Source organism: Homo sapiens, chromosome 2 (assembly GCF_000001405.40).
Source record: "Homo sapiens chromosome 2, GRCh38.p14 Primary Assembly".
Classification (NCBI taxonomy): Eukaryota; Metazoa; Chordata; class Mammalia; order Primates; family Hominidae; genus Homo; species Homo sapiens.
In genome coordinates, this window is record NC_000002.12 from 225492310 (window position 1) to 225508256 (window position 15947).

The 15947-nt window shown below is 37.6% G+C and overlaps 1 protein-coding gene across 4 annotated transcripts in view; it reads left to right on the plus strand.

Moving 5' to 3' along the window:
• NYAP2 (neuronal tyrosine-phosphorylated phosphoinositide-3-kinase adaptor 2) overlaps positions 1 to 15947 on the plus strand; it is a 305716-nt gene that overhangs the window by 94371 nt on the left and 195398 nt on the right. The window lies entirely within an intron of this gene.

The window sequence follows — 15947 nt, forward strand, 5'->3', positions numbered from 1 at the left end:
TTTAAAGAATTCCTGTGTGTTCTGTCCTATAACTGCATAACTCTGGGGATAGGTAGGCCTGCTTCACAACCAACTCAGTTCCAAGTTATGAGAACTTAGGCTGGTTAGTTAAACTCCTTGCAACTCATCTTTCCATTTGCAAAACAGGGGCATGGTAATAAACTTGTCACATAAGAAATGTATTTGGCATAAATGTAAAGGGCTCTGATAATTTAGGTGTTATTTCCATAATGTTTATGTTACTCTGTTCTTTCATTGATAGAGAAATACTGAAGTTGGGTAATTTATAAAGAAAAGTTTAATTGGCTCACAGTTCTGCAGACTGTACATGCGTGGCCCTGGCATTTGCTTGACTTCTGGAGAGGCCTCAGGAAGTGTTTACTCATGGTGGAAGGCAAGATAGGGGCAGAAATGTCACATGGTGAGAGAGGGAACAAGAGAGGGAGAAGGGGAGGATGCCACATACTTTTAACAACCAGATCTCATGAGAAGTAATTTATTATGAGGACAGGACCAGGCCATGAGGGATCTGCCTCTGTGATCCAAATACCTCCTATGAGGCCACACATTCAACACTGGGAATTACATCTCAACATGAGATTTAGAGGGGAGATTCAAACTAAATCAATGTATCCTGGCAGAGGAATGTGTGCTCTGCTGACATAATATCTTTTATAGCAACTTTTTTTTTTTTTTAGACAGGGTCTCACTGTGTCACCCAGGCTGGAGCGCAGTGACACCATCTCAGCTCACTGCAGCCTTACCTCCCAGTTTCAAGGATCCTCCTGCCACAGCCCCAACAAATAGCTGGGACTACAGGTGTGTGCTACACCACCTGGCTAATTTTTGTATTTGTTGTAAAGATAGGGGTCTTGCCATGTTGCCCAGGCTGGTCTCAAACTCCTAAGCTTAAGAGATCTGCCTACCTCTGCCTCCCAAAGTGCTAGGATTATAAGTGTGAGCTACCACACCTGGCACATAGCAACTTTTATGTTTTTTTAAAAAGTCTGTTTAAAATGCATTGCCAAAGCCTACGTTAGTGAATAGTGATGTTGCCATTCACTGCCTCAGCAAGAAGCATGGCTGATACAGGATCATGAACTGGAGCTTTGCTTAGTCATGTTTATCTAACATGTACAGGGTGACCAACATAAGGGAAAATGGGAGATTTTACAGAAATGTGTGGATTTCCATAGTTTCTCAAAACAATTGGTAGAGTTATTTTTCTGACTGGAGATTTACAAGGTAACTCAGTGTCTCTACTACTACTGCCTTGGTTTGAGTCACCGGTGGCTCTCACCTGGATTCGTGCATTTGCGCAATTGCTTCCTAATTGACTTCTCAGCCTCTGATCTCACTTCCCACTCCTGTTATTAACCTGAAATGTAGTTCATACCATGTCACTATTTTATTCAAAATGAATGAAAAGTTTAACAGTGACCTTTATAGGGAAAAAGAAAAGAATTTTTTTGGTGGCATTTGCTAATTTCCATGGTGGAAATATTTCACAGTGGTTGATTTTAAGCTACCAATGTGAAGTCACGTCAGAGTTGGAAAGAAGTGCACAAGCAGCTCTGCCAACCCATTGTAATCCAACCTCAGTACACAACTAAAAATATGCCCAATGACTTCTTGAACCACTCAAAGTAAGGTTCTTACAATGACCATGAGTCAAGTCAATGGCCGTGAAATTTCTGATTACCTCTTTTATCTTGCCTCCAATGCTACACTCTTCTCTCTAGTTTCACACTCTTTACTACTTAGTTATTTTGTAAAATGGGAAAGTGTCTGTAGCAACACATCACATAAAATGTATGACAGCATTAAGAGCTCTTAAGAAGAAAAATATTTTATAAATCCAAGTTGATGGGAACACTGCCAGTTCACCTAATGTGACACATAGATCACTGTCCTTCACTGAGCAAGACAAATTACTCAATGACTATGTCTCCCCACAAAACTGGATGTGAATCAAGCCTTCTGTCACCTGATTTACTGTGAATAGCCTTGATACCTCTGCAGGGAAATGGGAAGTATTACTTTGCTTGACTTTGAAGATGACTTAATAAGGCAAGAATGAATCAGTTGCCATGTGTTTTCAGTCACATCCAGTCCCATTCATTGTATAGGTCCAGTCACTAATGCTTTACCACCAGTTCTGCTGGATTCATCTTCTCATCCCCATTTAGCATTCATTTCTTCTCCAGAGCCTGTCTCCTGGCTGTTAAAAGAAGATACCAGATATCAAGATAAACAATTTCATTCCTCCCAGAAAATTAGGTCCTAGAGAGTGTGAGACAGGTTAGAAGGAAATTATTTGCTTATAGGCCTTCCATACGCTTTTGCCATCTCAAGGTAAGGTTTGGTATTTTTATAATTTTTCTAAGCTTGGTGATATTGTCTATGGAAAGGTTATTTACTTTTACTGTTAATGATGCTTTGGGGATTGCAGTGGAGAAGGAAAAAGAAAGAGGTTGAATCAGGTGGTGGCTGCTCACAGCTTGTATACACAATACAGCTGCATTTTCACCTCCATTCTTGTGGGAAGATATGTTTGGATTTCACAAGAATGTTCAATATAAGATATAAAAAACTATAGAGTTTATGTCTGTGTTTCTTACCCTAGTATATGTAAAAACCAGTAATGCATGAACTTTATGCAAATTCTTTGAATTTGGCAACAAGATATTCAAACACTTTTATTTGCTTATGCTGAATTAATTAGTGCTCACATAACTTTATGCATAAAGTTTACATGTGTGCTTATTTTAATAATTTACAAGAAAATATTAGTAGGTCAATTATTCTACTAAAATAGTCTTGTAAATGCTCAGAACCATGTTGAGACCTATACAGCTTAAACCTGAGTATAAGAAACAGCACTGATTGCCTTTCTACCCCAAGACTTTTACTTTATTTAAAAACAAAAACTTAACACTATGAAGTGAATTTGGGGGAATATCTATTCTATTTGTACTTCTCAGGGGTTAGGAAAGAGGGAATTTTCGAAAACAGCTGTCAATGAGAATAGATTGAACTCGACTGGAGGATTGACTCTGGATCTTATAAGGCGAGATTTAAAGAAATGGAAAGAATATGTTCTATCAGAAGAATTCATTATTCACTCATCCCCTCCATCTAAAGGAGGTCCTCCCTATTTTTCCCTTTCATATCACTCTGTTTTCTTTGTAGCATCAATCTTAATCACCTGACTCTACCCCTAATCTCTATGTTTTACAGGGAGAGATAATTTGTTTTTTTGTTGAATGACTAGGGCCTAGCACACTATCTAGGACAGACAGGTCTTCAGTAGTTATGGGTTTAATTAATTGACTAATAAATCAGATATTTGTGATTTTATGGGGCCATAAAAATCACAAGAATAGATACTGGTGATTATTGTAGCAGAAAATAAGATTGAACATGTGCAGTGTCGCCGCATTATGTAATATTTTAAAATAAAATGCCATTGCAAGGATTTGAACAAAGGAATGTTCCCTTTAAGCATATCTTCAGTAGACTGACCTAGTAAAGCTATGGAAGATAGATGAGAAGACCGCAGACCAAATCTGGTTTGTTGCTGAGGTCATCCTTGCAAATGATGACAGCCCCACCTGCTGTGAGTCTGAATTAACTGATCTTGACCTCCGCATTTGACACACCTGTGCTCATCACATTACCACTTCAAGGATAAGCATGTTGAAGGTATATACCAGGGAGTGGTAGAGATGATTGATCACAAAATTTAAGCTGCATTTAGGAAGACAAGATTTACAGCAATTGAGAAACACAGAAAAGATTGCAAGACCAAGGAACGGAAAAAGTTCCAAAAGGGGGTCAAAGGAGAGCTAAGGTTGAAAACGCAAAGGAAGCAAACTGAAAAGGCAAGTGATGGTAGTCACACATACAGACGCTTAAAACTGAGGTTACAGAGGGAGTGAGGTTACTGGTAATCAAAAGTCCAGATTGTGGCCCTGAGTGTGGTGGCTATGACAGGAAGAAAAAAAAAATATCTTTGGGGAGAAGATTTCAAGAAAGTGTGTGGCCAGGGAATATGTGTATATTTAACACTGTGTCTCATGCATTCCCAAATTAGCCTACAACTTACATTTTTTATCCTCCTTTTTTTAAACTACATGGGTTGCAATGAAAATATCTTTTGGTGATTCCTACCCTGATCCAAATCCTGTATTTTCCAAGGTTTGCAAACTCTTTAAGAAAAAACTGAAACAGATGGCCACAAATGAGTTATAAATGGAAAAAACAAAAACAAAAACAATAAAGCCCCACAGAAAACCTTTGCCAAAGAATCACTAAGTTAATTGTCCTCCTTAAGTTGAACCAGGCTTCAGTAAAAAGGAGATTCTTTCCAATAAGGAAGCTGTGAAGTTAAATTTCCCTGGTCACCTTCCATGTGTACAGGAAGGTTTTATTTTAATAGGGTGGATCTTAAATTTAAATGTGCTCTCAGTTAAACTGTAAACCCTGAGGGGTGTATATCTTTATTGTACAGTACTGGCTCATTGTGCTGTTGTGTGCAACAAATAATAGATGATAAATACTATAATGAGACCAACTAAGATACTGCCTCCATTGTAATGGAGAATTTTTTTTTTTATTTTTAGATGCATTGTGAGCATTAAAACCGTTGCTAATATGTTGTGACAATACCTTTTAATTAGTTATGAATAAATATGTGTTGGAGAAGATGAGGTTTGATCAAAGGCAAATTAACACTGGACGCTGACACCCCTTAGGGCTACAGCATAAAGCGGATAATCCAAGTGCCTTCATTGACACAGGGCATTCGATTCAATTATTTTGTAGAAGAAAACCAATCAGGGAAAGTGCATTGTTCCCAGAAAGCTATTCTAGAAAAACAGGGAGCCAAGCTCCTGGCCTCTGCATAGGTAATTTTGCCACCTATATTTCAATCTATCATATTATTACATTTGGGTACATTAAGCAGATCTGCAACCTGTTGTGCATAGAGACAGCACACTGGCCACTCTATTTACAGTAACTAATGCATCCACGCATAAGTATTTGGCTCTTAAGTAGCGTCTTTAGTGATTCACATTTACATGTCACTCCGGTTACATGAATGAGGGCTGGAAGCTGGGTTTTTAGAACTCTAAGGCCTGACTTTTTAAATGGACTTCAAAAATGCCAGGGAGGACACTTCTCAGCTTTATCAGTTTGCCAAGGTGATGTGTCCAATAGAAATGTTTGTAAAATGCTTTTTGTTGTTAAGTTAGGAAAAACTCTTCATGAATAAAACCTGACCTGGGTTTATATGTGCATTTAATCCCACAAGGATCCTGAGGGATCATGGGGTAAGGTATTACTACCTCACTGGATAAATGAATGAATCTATTGGGAAATGAATTCTCTAGTGGTCACACAATGATTTAGGAGCAGTGTTAGAAATGAAATTTTCTGTCTGGAAACAATGTACATGTACATGCATGTGTGTGTGTGATCTATAGTGTCTTTTTCTATAGACACACAGATGATGGAATTTTTTCACTTCCTGGAAAATGTATGGCTTGACTATTCAATTAGAGATACTGAGATCAGTTCCCTTTAGAGGTTGGAAATTTCTGGATGACATAACTTATTATCTATATTTCACTTTATCTCTTTACTCCTATTCAAGCCAAGTCTCTATTTTAAAAAGATTTTGGTCTTCTAGATTTATTCTACTGAAGCAAAATTTCTGTAACTCTTTAATATATGCCTGGAAATAATATAATTAACTATGTATTCCTTTTAATGTAGGTCTAAAATAATTTATATCCATAAATATTTACATGGTAACTTTTACACTCAAAGAATTATACTAGATGCCATGGGAGATAAAGGAAACATGCACATTTTGATTTTTATCTTCACAAATTGTATAATGTCAAGGTTGTATATAATAGCTGTAATATAAGGCAAATAGTGACAATATGAAGGAAGTTCACTAAAGAAGAGAGTGGGTATTGATGAAAGTTTAAGAAAGAAGTGGCATTGGTTTAGGCCCTGAATAACTTGAGATTTTTTTTTTCCTCAAATAGAGATGTAGTTTGAAGGGGAAAAGACCCCAGGGGAGTGGAGGGAAGAAGAATTATGTGAGTGGATATGACGAGATAAGAAAGAAGGCTGGGCCACATTAAGCAGAGCTTAAATTCCTTACAGAGGAACTGGACTCTTATTTTGGGTAATCCTGAAGACTTTTAAGAGGAGGATTGATGTGATCCCATTTATTTTTTAGGACTTTTTTTTTTTTTAGGTCAATGAATGCATTATTGCTAGGGAAAACTGAGACAAATAATCCAAGTAAGAATATCATTTAGTAGCTGGGACCAAAAGTTCATAAAAAGCCTTGTAGATGGTTTGGAAAATAGGGAATAGATGTGAAATCTAGGTAGAAGAGGAAGAATCGGTTGACAGTTTGAGTGTCTGTATATATAGGAAGTATATAGGTGTCAAATTTCTTGGAAGCATTTGTTCTCTGTGACTGAGAGAATGATGCTTTGAAGACAAAGTTTCATTAGAGGGAAAAGGGAGATGGCAATGACATTGGCTTGGAACATGCTAATCTTGGGTGTCAAAGGAACACCCATTTGGAAATGCGCAGTATTTTGTTGAGAGGGCGAATAGATGTCTCAGAATGCAGGTAACCATGGAATATTAGATTTGAAAATCACGTGGACAGGATAGCATTGAAGTCTTAAAAATTGATATTTGTCAAAGACAACCACAGAAAAATCATAAAAGGGGAAACAGAACTTTGACCTACACTGAAGCATGAGGGGCAATAAGAGAAGTCAGTGGAAATACCAAGTAGGACAAATTGGAAAAATGTAAAAGCAGGAGAGGACAGTATTCAGGAAGCCAAGGAAATAGGACATTCCAGAAAGAAGCTGCGGTCTAAAAGAGATAAAATGGCTCTAAAGGTATTGAGAAGAATCTAGAGAAAAATAAAACTTTCTAGTTTATGCCACTAGCAAGGAAAAGGTTACTTTTTTTTTTTTTTTGACGGAGTCTTGCTCTGTCACCCAGGCTGGAGTACAGTGGCGCCATCCGCTCACTGCAAGCTCTGCCTCCGGGGTTCACGCCATGCTCCTGCCTCAGCCTCCCGAGTAGCTGGGACTACAGGCGCCCGCTACTGTTCCCGGCTAATTTTTTTTTTGTATTTTTAGTAGAGACGGGGTTTCATAGTGTTAGCCAGGATGGTCTCGATCTCCTGACCCGGTGACCCGCCCATCTTGGCCTCCCAAAGTGCTGGGATTACAGGCTTGAGCCACCGCTTTAAGAAAACCATTTCAGTAGACTCTGGTGGTAGAAGCCAGAGTACAACAGATACACAAAGAATGTGACTTAAGGACAGTGATAAGAAGGTAAGAACCCCTTTTGAGACTTTGCCGTCTTGTTCAAAGGTGCATCCCTGGCAGCTAACAATGTATTGGGCACAAAAGAGATGCTCAATAGATGTTTGTGAATTAAAGATGAATGAATGATTTAGTAAACGAATGAGAGACAAGAAAAAATAGCAGAAGGGAAGGAGAAAGGGAGGGATAGAGAGAAACAGAGAAAGAATACAAGAGATGAAGCAGGAGCTCACGATGTTTGAGCTAAGTATTGCTAAAGAAAGGGGAGTTGGAAATGTTTAGGATTGCTGATGAGAATAATCAATGAAGAATATACCATGGAGAATAAAGTGGAAGAACAATATATGTATAAAAATTGTTAAGAGATATTGAGTCAGCATACCAGAGGAAAAAATATAGTTAATGATGTAGAGAAATTGAAATATGTAGAGGAGAAAGACCCAGGGACCTCTCATTGGAGAACAACAATCTTGTTAGTGAAATAGACCTTGAGGTATTATTCTGAGGGACTGGGTTCAGATTTGTCAAAACCGAGGTTTCCTAAAGCTTGCAGTCATAAAGAGGTGTGTACTACGTGTAACTGCAGAGTTATCTTAAGAAGGGTAAGTTTAAGTTGCATTCATTATTTAGAAAGACATTGAATTATTTTTGAATTGATATGAAAGATGAAACAGTGTTTTATTTTGCTTCCTTGGTAGTTCATTTTTCACAATGATTCCGTAAATACATGGCTAGGATTTCTGGATCTGTCTGAGGTGTGTTTTTCCCTTTCATCTTCATGACTCTGTTTTAAACTGCAAAATATTTGAGACCTCAGCAGAATATTTTGCAAGAAGCATTTCACTGTGCTCAAATATTTTCAATTTTCAGGTACTTTCTATAAAGTCTTTTAGATCTTGTTTTGTTCAAGAAATTTAGAGCATTATTTCATTAAATCTTAAGACACTATTATCAGAAGAAGCACATATTACAAATGTTTGGGAAGGGCGAATGCTGTAGGTTTAAGACAGAGCTGACATGAAAACTTTTTTATCTCAGTCTTCTGATTTTGTTTGACAAATCACACCATCTCTCTGCTAGAAGGTCAATGAATAGATGGCAATATACCTGGGAAGTACAGGTTTCAAGAAAACTCATTTTTCTGGTATGAAATTTCATGCCAGAAATAGTTTGGGGTCATGCTAATCCCTTTCTTCCAATATTATGGAGAATAGAGATTTTGCAAAATGGGGTACATATTTTGGTAGTTTTGCACCCTAAAACAGAAAAAGAGGAAGCATTCAAGGGTGGTGTCAGTATCTAATACTGTGTCATAGATGATGGTCTGGGCTGAGAAAGTAACTAGTTGCCTTATTATGGATAGGAAACTTTTCAGAGAAGAAAACATACTGAAATTATACTGAAGAGTATGGCATCTGCCACTTCTTTGAGTTGTTTGGCTCTTTCTCAAATCCAGGGCATGACTTTACAGTTCTTACTAATAGGAACATGTGTTCTCCCTCTAGGTCCAACTTCAAACTGGCTTAAGGTTTGAGAGTAAACATAACTGATCTCATAAGCATACAATCTAGTCTCCAGATCATAAGTGTATGGACAAACCAGAGAGTAGCCTCTTGACTCTGGAATTCAAAATGCCATTGGTGTCAATCAAGATGGTTACAAAGTTGAAGGAAAATGATATCTAATCCAGGGATTTGTTAAATAATGATTAATTTAGAGGCTTCTACTGTGTTATCTCAGGCATGTAAATAATGTATAAAACAATATGAGAGAGAGATATTGGTAGCCTCTAATTTGAGGTGAAGATAACAAAACTGAACGAATTAATGTGCCTGGGGTCACAAAACTAGTTTGTAATAGAGCTAGAATTGTATGTTGAATTTTTCAAATTGGCCGTTGGGATATCTGAAAACAGCATTCCATCATACATTTTTTTTTGTTTCAACAGTGAAAGCAATTATTAGCTAATCATACCTAAGCCTCATAGTATCATTGTAGTTTTTCTTTCCAATGAGAGCTTGAAAATGCCTATCCCAAAATAATTCAAAAAGAAAAGTTTCTGAAACTACCTAGCAGTTTTTACTGGGTCACATCTTTCTCTCTCTTCCACTATCTCTACCCACTTTCCACTTGCTACAAACAATGCATGGTCTGTGCTCTCAAGGAGCTCACAGACCAGTGGAGGAGATCAAATCAGAGAACACACCTGAAGGGTGTGATAAAGGAGGTGCTATCACATGGAGGAGCATAGAGTCCTTTGGCAATGTTAAGGCAGGAACATGTTCCATTAGAGAATTCTTGAGGTCAGAAAGGGAACATGTTGTAGATGAGAACTGGCATAGAATCCAGACCTTAAAAGACCATGAGTATAACTTAAAAGTTTGGATTTTTAGTCCAAAGAAATGGAAGAGCTATCAAAGGGTTTTAATTTAGAGAGTGACACGAGCAAATCTGCATTTAGAAGGATAAATCTGGCAGCACTGTAGAGAAAGATCAGCTAAGAGGCAATTGCATTAATTTAGCCAAGAAGTGATGAGCACCTAAACCAAAGCCGAGCGGTAGAGATGGAGAGAAGGGGATTAAGCTGATCTCTGCATTCAGATTACTGGTTCCAACAGGGACAAAAATTAATAGTGTATGAGTAGTCACAGACTTTTCCTTTCTCCTTCATCATAAATTGAGAAAATGGCCACTGAAGAAGGAAATAGAGAAGAATGTCATTAAATAATAGTATCATCCATCCTGTTGCTTAAGAAACCTGTGAGTTATTCTTGAACTATTCCCAAACATATATGTATACATTCATTTATTTAATTAATACTTATTGGTTGTGCCTTTGGGCCAAACACTGTTCCAGCCATTGGAAATACAAGACAGACAAGGACCAATTAAGTTTTGCCCAAATATACTGATAATTTTTCAATTTCTATAGATCCCCACTGCCAGCTCACAAATCCCCTTCTTCCCCACTTCTCTCTTCATCTGATGAAGTCTTACTCATGATCTGCATCAGCTGAGAAGCCACATCTTCCCATGGGGCTTCCCAGCCCTTTGGTGGTTGTTAGGGCCCCAGGACTTGTTGTTCCATTGCACCTGCCTTATACTTCTTGTGAGAGAACATCTGATCACAAGGTGCTGAAATCATAGGGGTTCAAGAGCCAGTGACTTTCTGAGGACCCTGACCACTCTGTTCTGTTCACTGCCTGACAAACTATAGGCACTTGGATATTTTGTAAATAAATAGTGAGTAAATAAATTCCTCAAGACAGAGTTGTTTTGTCCTCCTTAAAAATTATACCTTTAGAAAGCTAAACCAGTTATTATACTTTAAACTGGCATTAAGTTAAGGCCTTCTGCTCAGGAAGTTCAAGGCCATTATATGTTATTCTATATTTCTAGTTTCTACTTCTAGGTTGAAAAAAATGAGCCACATATGGTTAGCTAAACTCATTTCTAAAAACTTGGCATGTTCTCAAACCATATTCAAAGCTTATGTCAGTTTTGAAGACACAAATAAAATATATTTTCCAGAACTTCTCCTCCTCTGGTTGAATTTTTGGAAAAGATCTCCCACGATGTGAACTTCTGTAAACTGTATTCTAAGTTCAATCTGAATATTATAATTTATTTTCCATATACCCTCTCTTTAGGCCATGACACTTCAAGAAGTAGAAGAGTCTTATGTATAGAAATGAGGAATGTTTTAATTTTAGATTCCAAAGTACCGTAGATAATAACATATGTTAATCTTAAAAGCACTTGTCATGTTTTAAGTAAAAATAAGTCTCTTAAAGATGTTCCATAGAATTTATTCTGGCCTTAATAAGCATTATATTTCTGTCCTGCCTCTTTAGAAACTCAGAAATGAAGAAAAGGAACTTTGATAGAGGTTAAAAAAATCTCTCTACTTCCCTCTGTAACCTCCTTCCTTTATTATAATTAAGCATCACATTAATGGGCAGCAATATTAACCTCAAACTCTTGGCAATAGCACTTCGTGATAAATAAGTTGTGTGCTTGTTTTTCAAGCATAACTCCCTAGCCATGATTACCCTAAGCTCTAACATTCATAAAAATCTTAAATTATCATGGTGTTTGATAGAGATGACCATAAAATCCATTCAATAGATTTGTGCAACTCTATAATTATGTCCACTGATAATTATAGCTTTTTTTTTCTTGACTTTTTCTTTTTATTTACTGTCTGGATTTGGAAGTATATTGCATGACAATACTGTTGAAGCCCTCTTACAAAAATAAACAAAATGTATTGATATGATTAGAGTATGTTTTCCTTCATGGTGCTCTAGGGTGGAAACTTATTAAAAATGGCTATTTGATGACTGGGAACAGAAAGATAAAAATTGATACAGAGTTAGGTAAGTCAGGAAGGAAGGGGAGGTAAATTAACATTTGTCCAGCCTCCTGTCATAGTACACTCAGGCTGCTAGGATAAATACCACAGACATTTATTTCACACAGTTCTGGGAGCTGGAAAATCCAAGCTTGAGCTGATGGCAGATTCAGTGTCTGGTGAGGTCCTGCTTCGTGGTTCATTGATGGCTGTTTTCTCTGTGTCCTCACACCATAGAAGGGGTGAGAGAGCTCTCTGGGATCTCTTTAATGAGGGCCCTAATTTCATTCTGAGGGTTTTGCCCCCAAGACTTAATCACTTCCCAAAGTCTCCATCTGCAAATACCATCACACTGGGGATTAGGTTTCAACACATGAATTTGGGGTGGGGGAGCAGGGGCGACAAACATTCAGTCTATAGCACCTGTACTTATATCAGCCACCTTGATAGGCTATTTTAAAATGTCTTATTTCATTTTACTTTATAACAACCCTGGAAAGTGTTTCTTTATAAAGATAAGCATAATTGAAGTTCATAAAGTATATGTCTTCTACCTATAATTGGATAGCTAGTAAATAAGTTGGTTAGTTACATATCTCAAATTCTAAGATACTGAATTTTGGCAGAGGTGAAATCTCCTACCAAGGAGAAAGAACATATTTGATATTTAAAATATATCATTTTAGGCCAGGCACGGTGGCTCATGCCTGTAACCCCAGCACTTTGGGAAGCTGAGGCAGGGGGATCATGAGGTCAGGAGTTTGAGACCAGCCTGACCAAGGTGGTGAAATCCCGTCTCTACTAAAAATACAAAAATTAGCTGGGTATGGTGGTGTCTGCCTGTAATCCCAGCTACTTGGGAGGCTGAGGCAGAATAGTTGCTTGAACCTGGGAGGCAGAGGTTGCAGTGAGCCAAGATTGCACCACTGCGCTCCAGCCTGGGTGACGGAGCAAGACTGCGTCTCGAAAAAAAAAAAAATCATCATCATCATCATTATCTTAAAGTATAATATCTGGAACTAATGGAAACTGAGTCCTTTCTCTTCAGGACAGTTTTGTTTTTTTCTTGTCATTTTATTTTGTTTTTCTATAACAGTTCATCACAGCAGTTAATAAAAAGATGTGTAAAAATCCCACTTTTAACACTTGACCTTCATATCCGAGAAGTATCAATAAAGAGCCAGACACAGGAAATTAATGTCTGAAAAAAACTAGGAGACTTAAAATATTAGGTGCATAAAGTAGAAAATAGATATCATTGAGGATATGAAGTGGTGAAAATGAGTGTTTGAGCCTAAGGCAAGAAATCCACAAATTATGGTTTTGAATGAGCATGTGTGGCTCAGGGAAGACATTAAGGGTAATGGTGAGTAAACAATTTGAAGAAAATATGAACACAGTTTAATTTTACTGAAGCCAAGTTTTCATATCCAAGTATACTGCCTGATTTAAAAACTATATATGGGGCAAATATATAAAGCAGTTAATTATTTTTATTCATAGTGTTAAATAGGAGGGATTTCTTCAAATAATAAAGCTGCATGCATTTGTTTCCTGTGTTGTATCATCCTGAGTCTATCCCTGACACCAGATGCATTTTCTGATAAAAGTCAGCCAATAACTCTTATTTAGTAACTACTGTCTGCAGATTATTATACTGGTTCATTTAGGACTTTTCTCAATACATTTGTCAGGAAACCCAAATATAATTGGCTTTAACAAAATGGAATTTAGTAGTTGATATACCTGAACAGTTTGGGATTATTCTAGCTGCAGACATAGCTATAGCCAGGTCTTCCTCAAGGCCTGGAGACCTGGTCCCACTTATTTTCATTCACAATGGGAAGAAGGATGAAGCAGGTCCGGACTTCTGGCCAGTGCAGCTTCGTGTATGCCCTGGTTTCACTCTGATTGGACCACCTTGAGGCATTTGCCAGTTCCTAAAATAGTCACGGTGGCCAGGGTGATCCAACGTTTGTTTGGCTGAGACTGAGCAATATGGTGGACTGAGAGAGAGAAAAAAAAAAGATTCCCTACAGGAATTTCCATTGCAAAGATAAAGGAGAATGCATCCCTGGGAAGCAAAAGTGAAATATGTCCACAATTTTTTTTAACTAATCCTTTTATTAGGCTATCTCCAAAGTGGACTTACTTCCATTACTCATTTTTCCTTTGTAAAACAAATGTGTGTTAGTGACTAGAATGGTGAGCAAGGAGATAGAATGCCTGCTTTCATGAATCTGGGGGTAAGTGAATGTGACCAGCCATTTGTACTCAAGGCCAATGGGGCTGGGGAGAGCGTGTGAATATGATGAATTGTATGACAAGTTACACCTGCCAAAAGTCAAAGCAGATGTAACTAATTATGCCTCTCTCTTAAAAGTCTGACTTTGAGTTGAGGCATATTCCTTGTCAAACAGGAAGAGGTGTTACTAGTGGCTCTCTAGATGGCCAATTTCCATGAGCACAGCTCAGCCTAGCTGGTCCTGATACCTAGAAAAGGCCATTCTGCTGGAGCAGGGATCCTTCTGGTAGGATGGGCCAGGGGGATGTTCAGTAGGCAGCACAAGGTGAGCATTTGGCTTTGAGCATCTTAAGAGAAGGCAACAGGGAGGCAGCATCAAATATAAACTTTTTAAATCATACTTTTAATGAAGAAAGTGTAAATATTAGTTTCTTTCTATTCATTCATAGAGAAATGCCCACATGAAAGATTCCAAGAGTTAACAGGTGACAGTGGCCCACCTGCCCACAGGCAAATCTCATCCTCTTCTTTACAGCTGTAACCACCACCATTTCCCTTTCAGGTGTTCCCCCATTTAATGTATGGTTGAATGTGCCCTTTCCCTGATACTAGATGAAAACATCTTTTTGAAAATTTAACACAAAAAATCCCAAATGGTTTGCAAAGTTTGCAAAGGTAGAAATACACTGGAGTATGAATCAGTTTCAGAGATAGGTTTTTGAGCTCAACTCCAAAATATCACTACAGAAAAGAATTACTCAAGCAAGCAAACTCCTAGGCAACCCTTCAGTTTGTATCTCAAATTTCTAGATGTGCATAAAAGAGGATCAATATCTTTATCTACTTATCTATCAATCATTATCTAGCTATCAGTCTACATCATTGTCATCATCATTATCTATCTGGGGTGGGATTATATTTTTCCCAGTGCTTAGCAAAGAAAACTCTACTACAAAATATTGACATGTTTGCCTCAAAACTGCATGCAGAAGCAACACCCCTGTCACTTTTGAAGATGATGTCTCACCTCAGCAGCTCACCTTTCTCATGGGTTTTGTTTTTGTCTTCGAAAGGAAGCAGTTCTCATAAGGAAACACACAACATCAATGCTGATGGATTTCAAGCAGACAGCAAGACAAGGAACAAACTGTGGTGATTAGCATTGTCAGAGCAGTTTTGAAGTGCTTGTTTTGTACTTTTCTTTATCGGTCCTAATCAGCAGGTGCTTTGAAAAATTGATGCAAGTATTTAAGAAAGTTAACAACATGAGGGCTACAGTTGCCTAGATTATCTTGATACCTTGAGTTAAATGTAGGATTTTATTTTGATTTTCTTTGTGTGAAGTTTTTTGAGGTTACATGGTACCATATGGCATGCTTTACAGGCATGGCCTTATAATGCAAATGACTATCCTATAAGCAAAATTCAGTGGGAAAAGACTTAAATGTAGGAATTTTATGGCTAAAATTATTGACTGCATTTTATATATCAGACTGCTAAATGCTTCATATGCAGTATATCAGGTAAATTTGATACCAGTTTGACGGGGCCAATGCCGCTATTAAACAGCTAAGGAAATGGCCCCAGGGATTCAGTAGCTAATGTTATACAGCTGCTAAATAATGGCTCTGGGATAGTCTATAACTCCATGATTCCAGTGCACAAATGTCCAGGCCTGTCTACTAGCCAATAATTTGTTTGGTGGAGATATTTACAAACATTGCATCAATTACTTCTGGAAAAATAACCCTCCTTGATTTAGATAATATTTTACACTTTGTGTTTTGTAATGGAATAACTAACCAACAGACAAGTAGATCTCACAACATTGCCTTCATTATATGAGAAAAAGCATACTTGTTTAAATTCAGGATTATGAAACTTGTTTTTATTTTTATAACATGAGATGTGTCAGGCTTAATCTATCTTGAGTGTTGGAGTCTTATTGCAACAAGACTCTTTCTTTAGC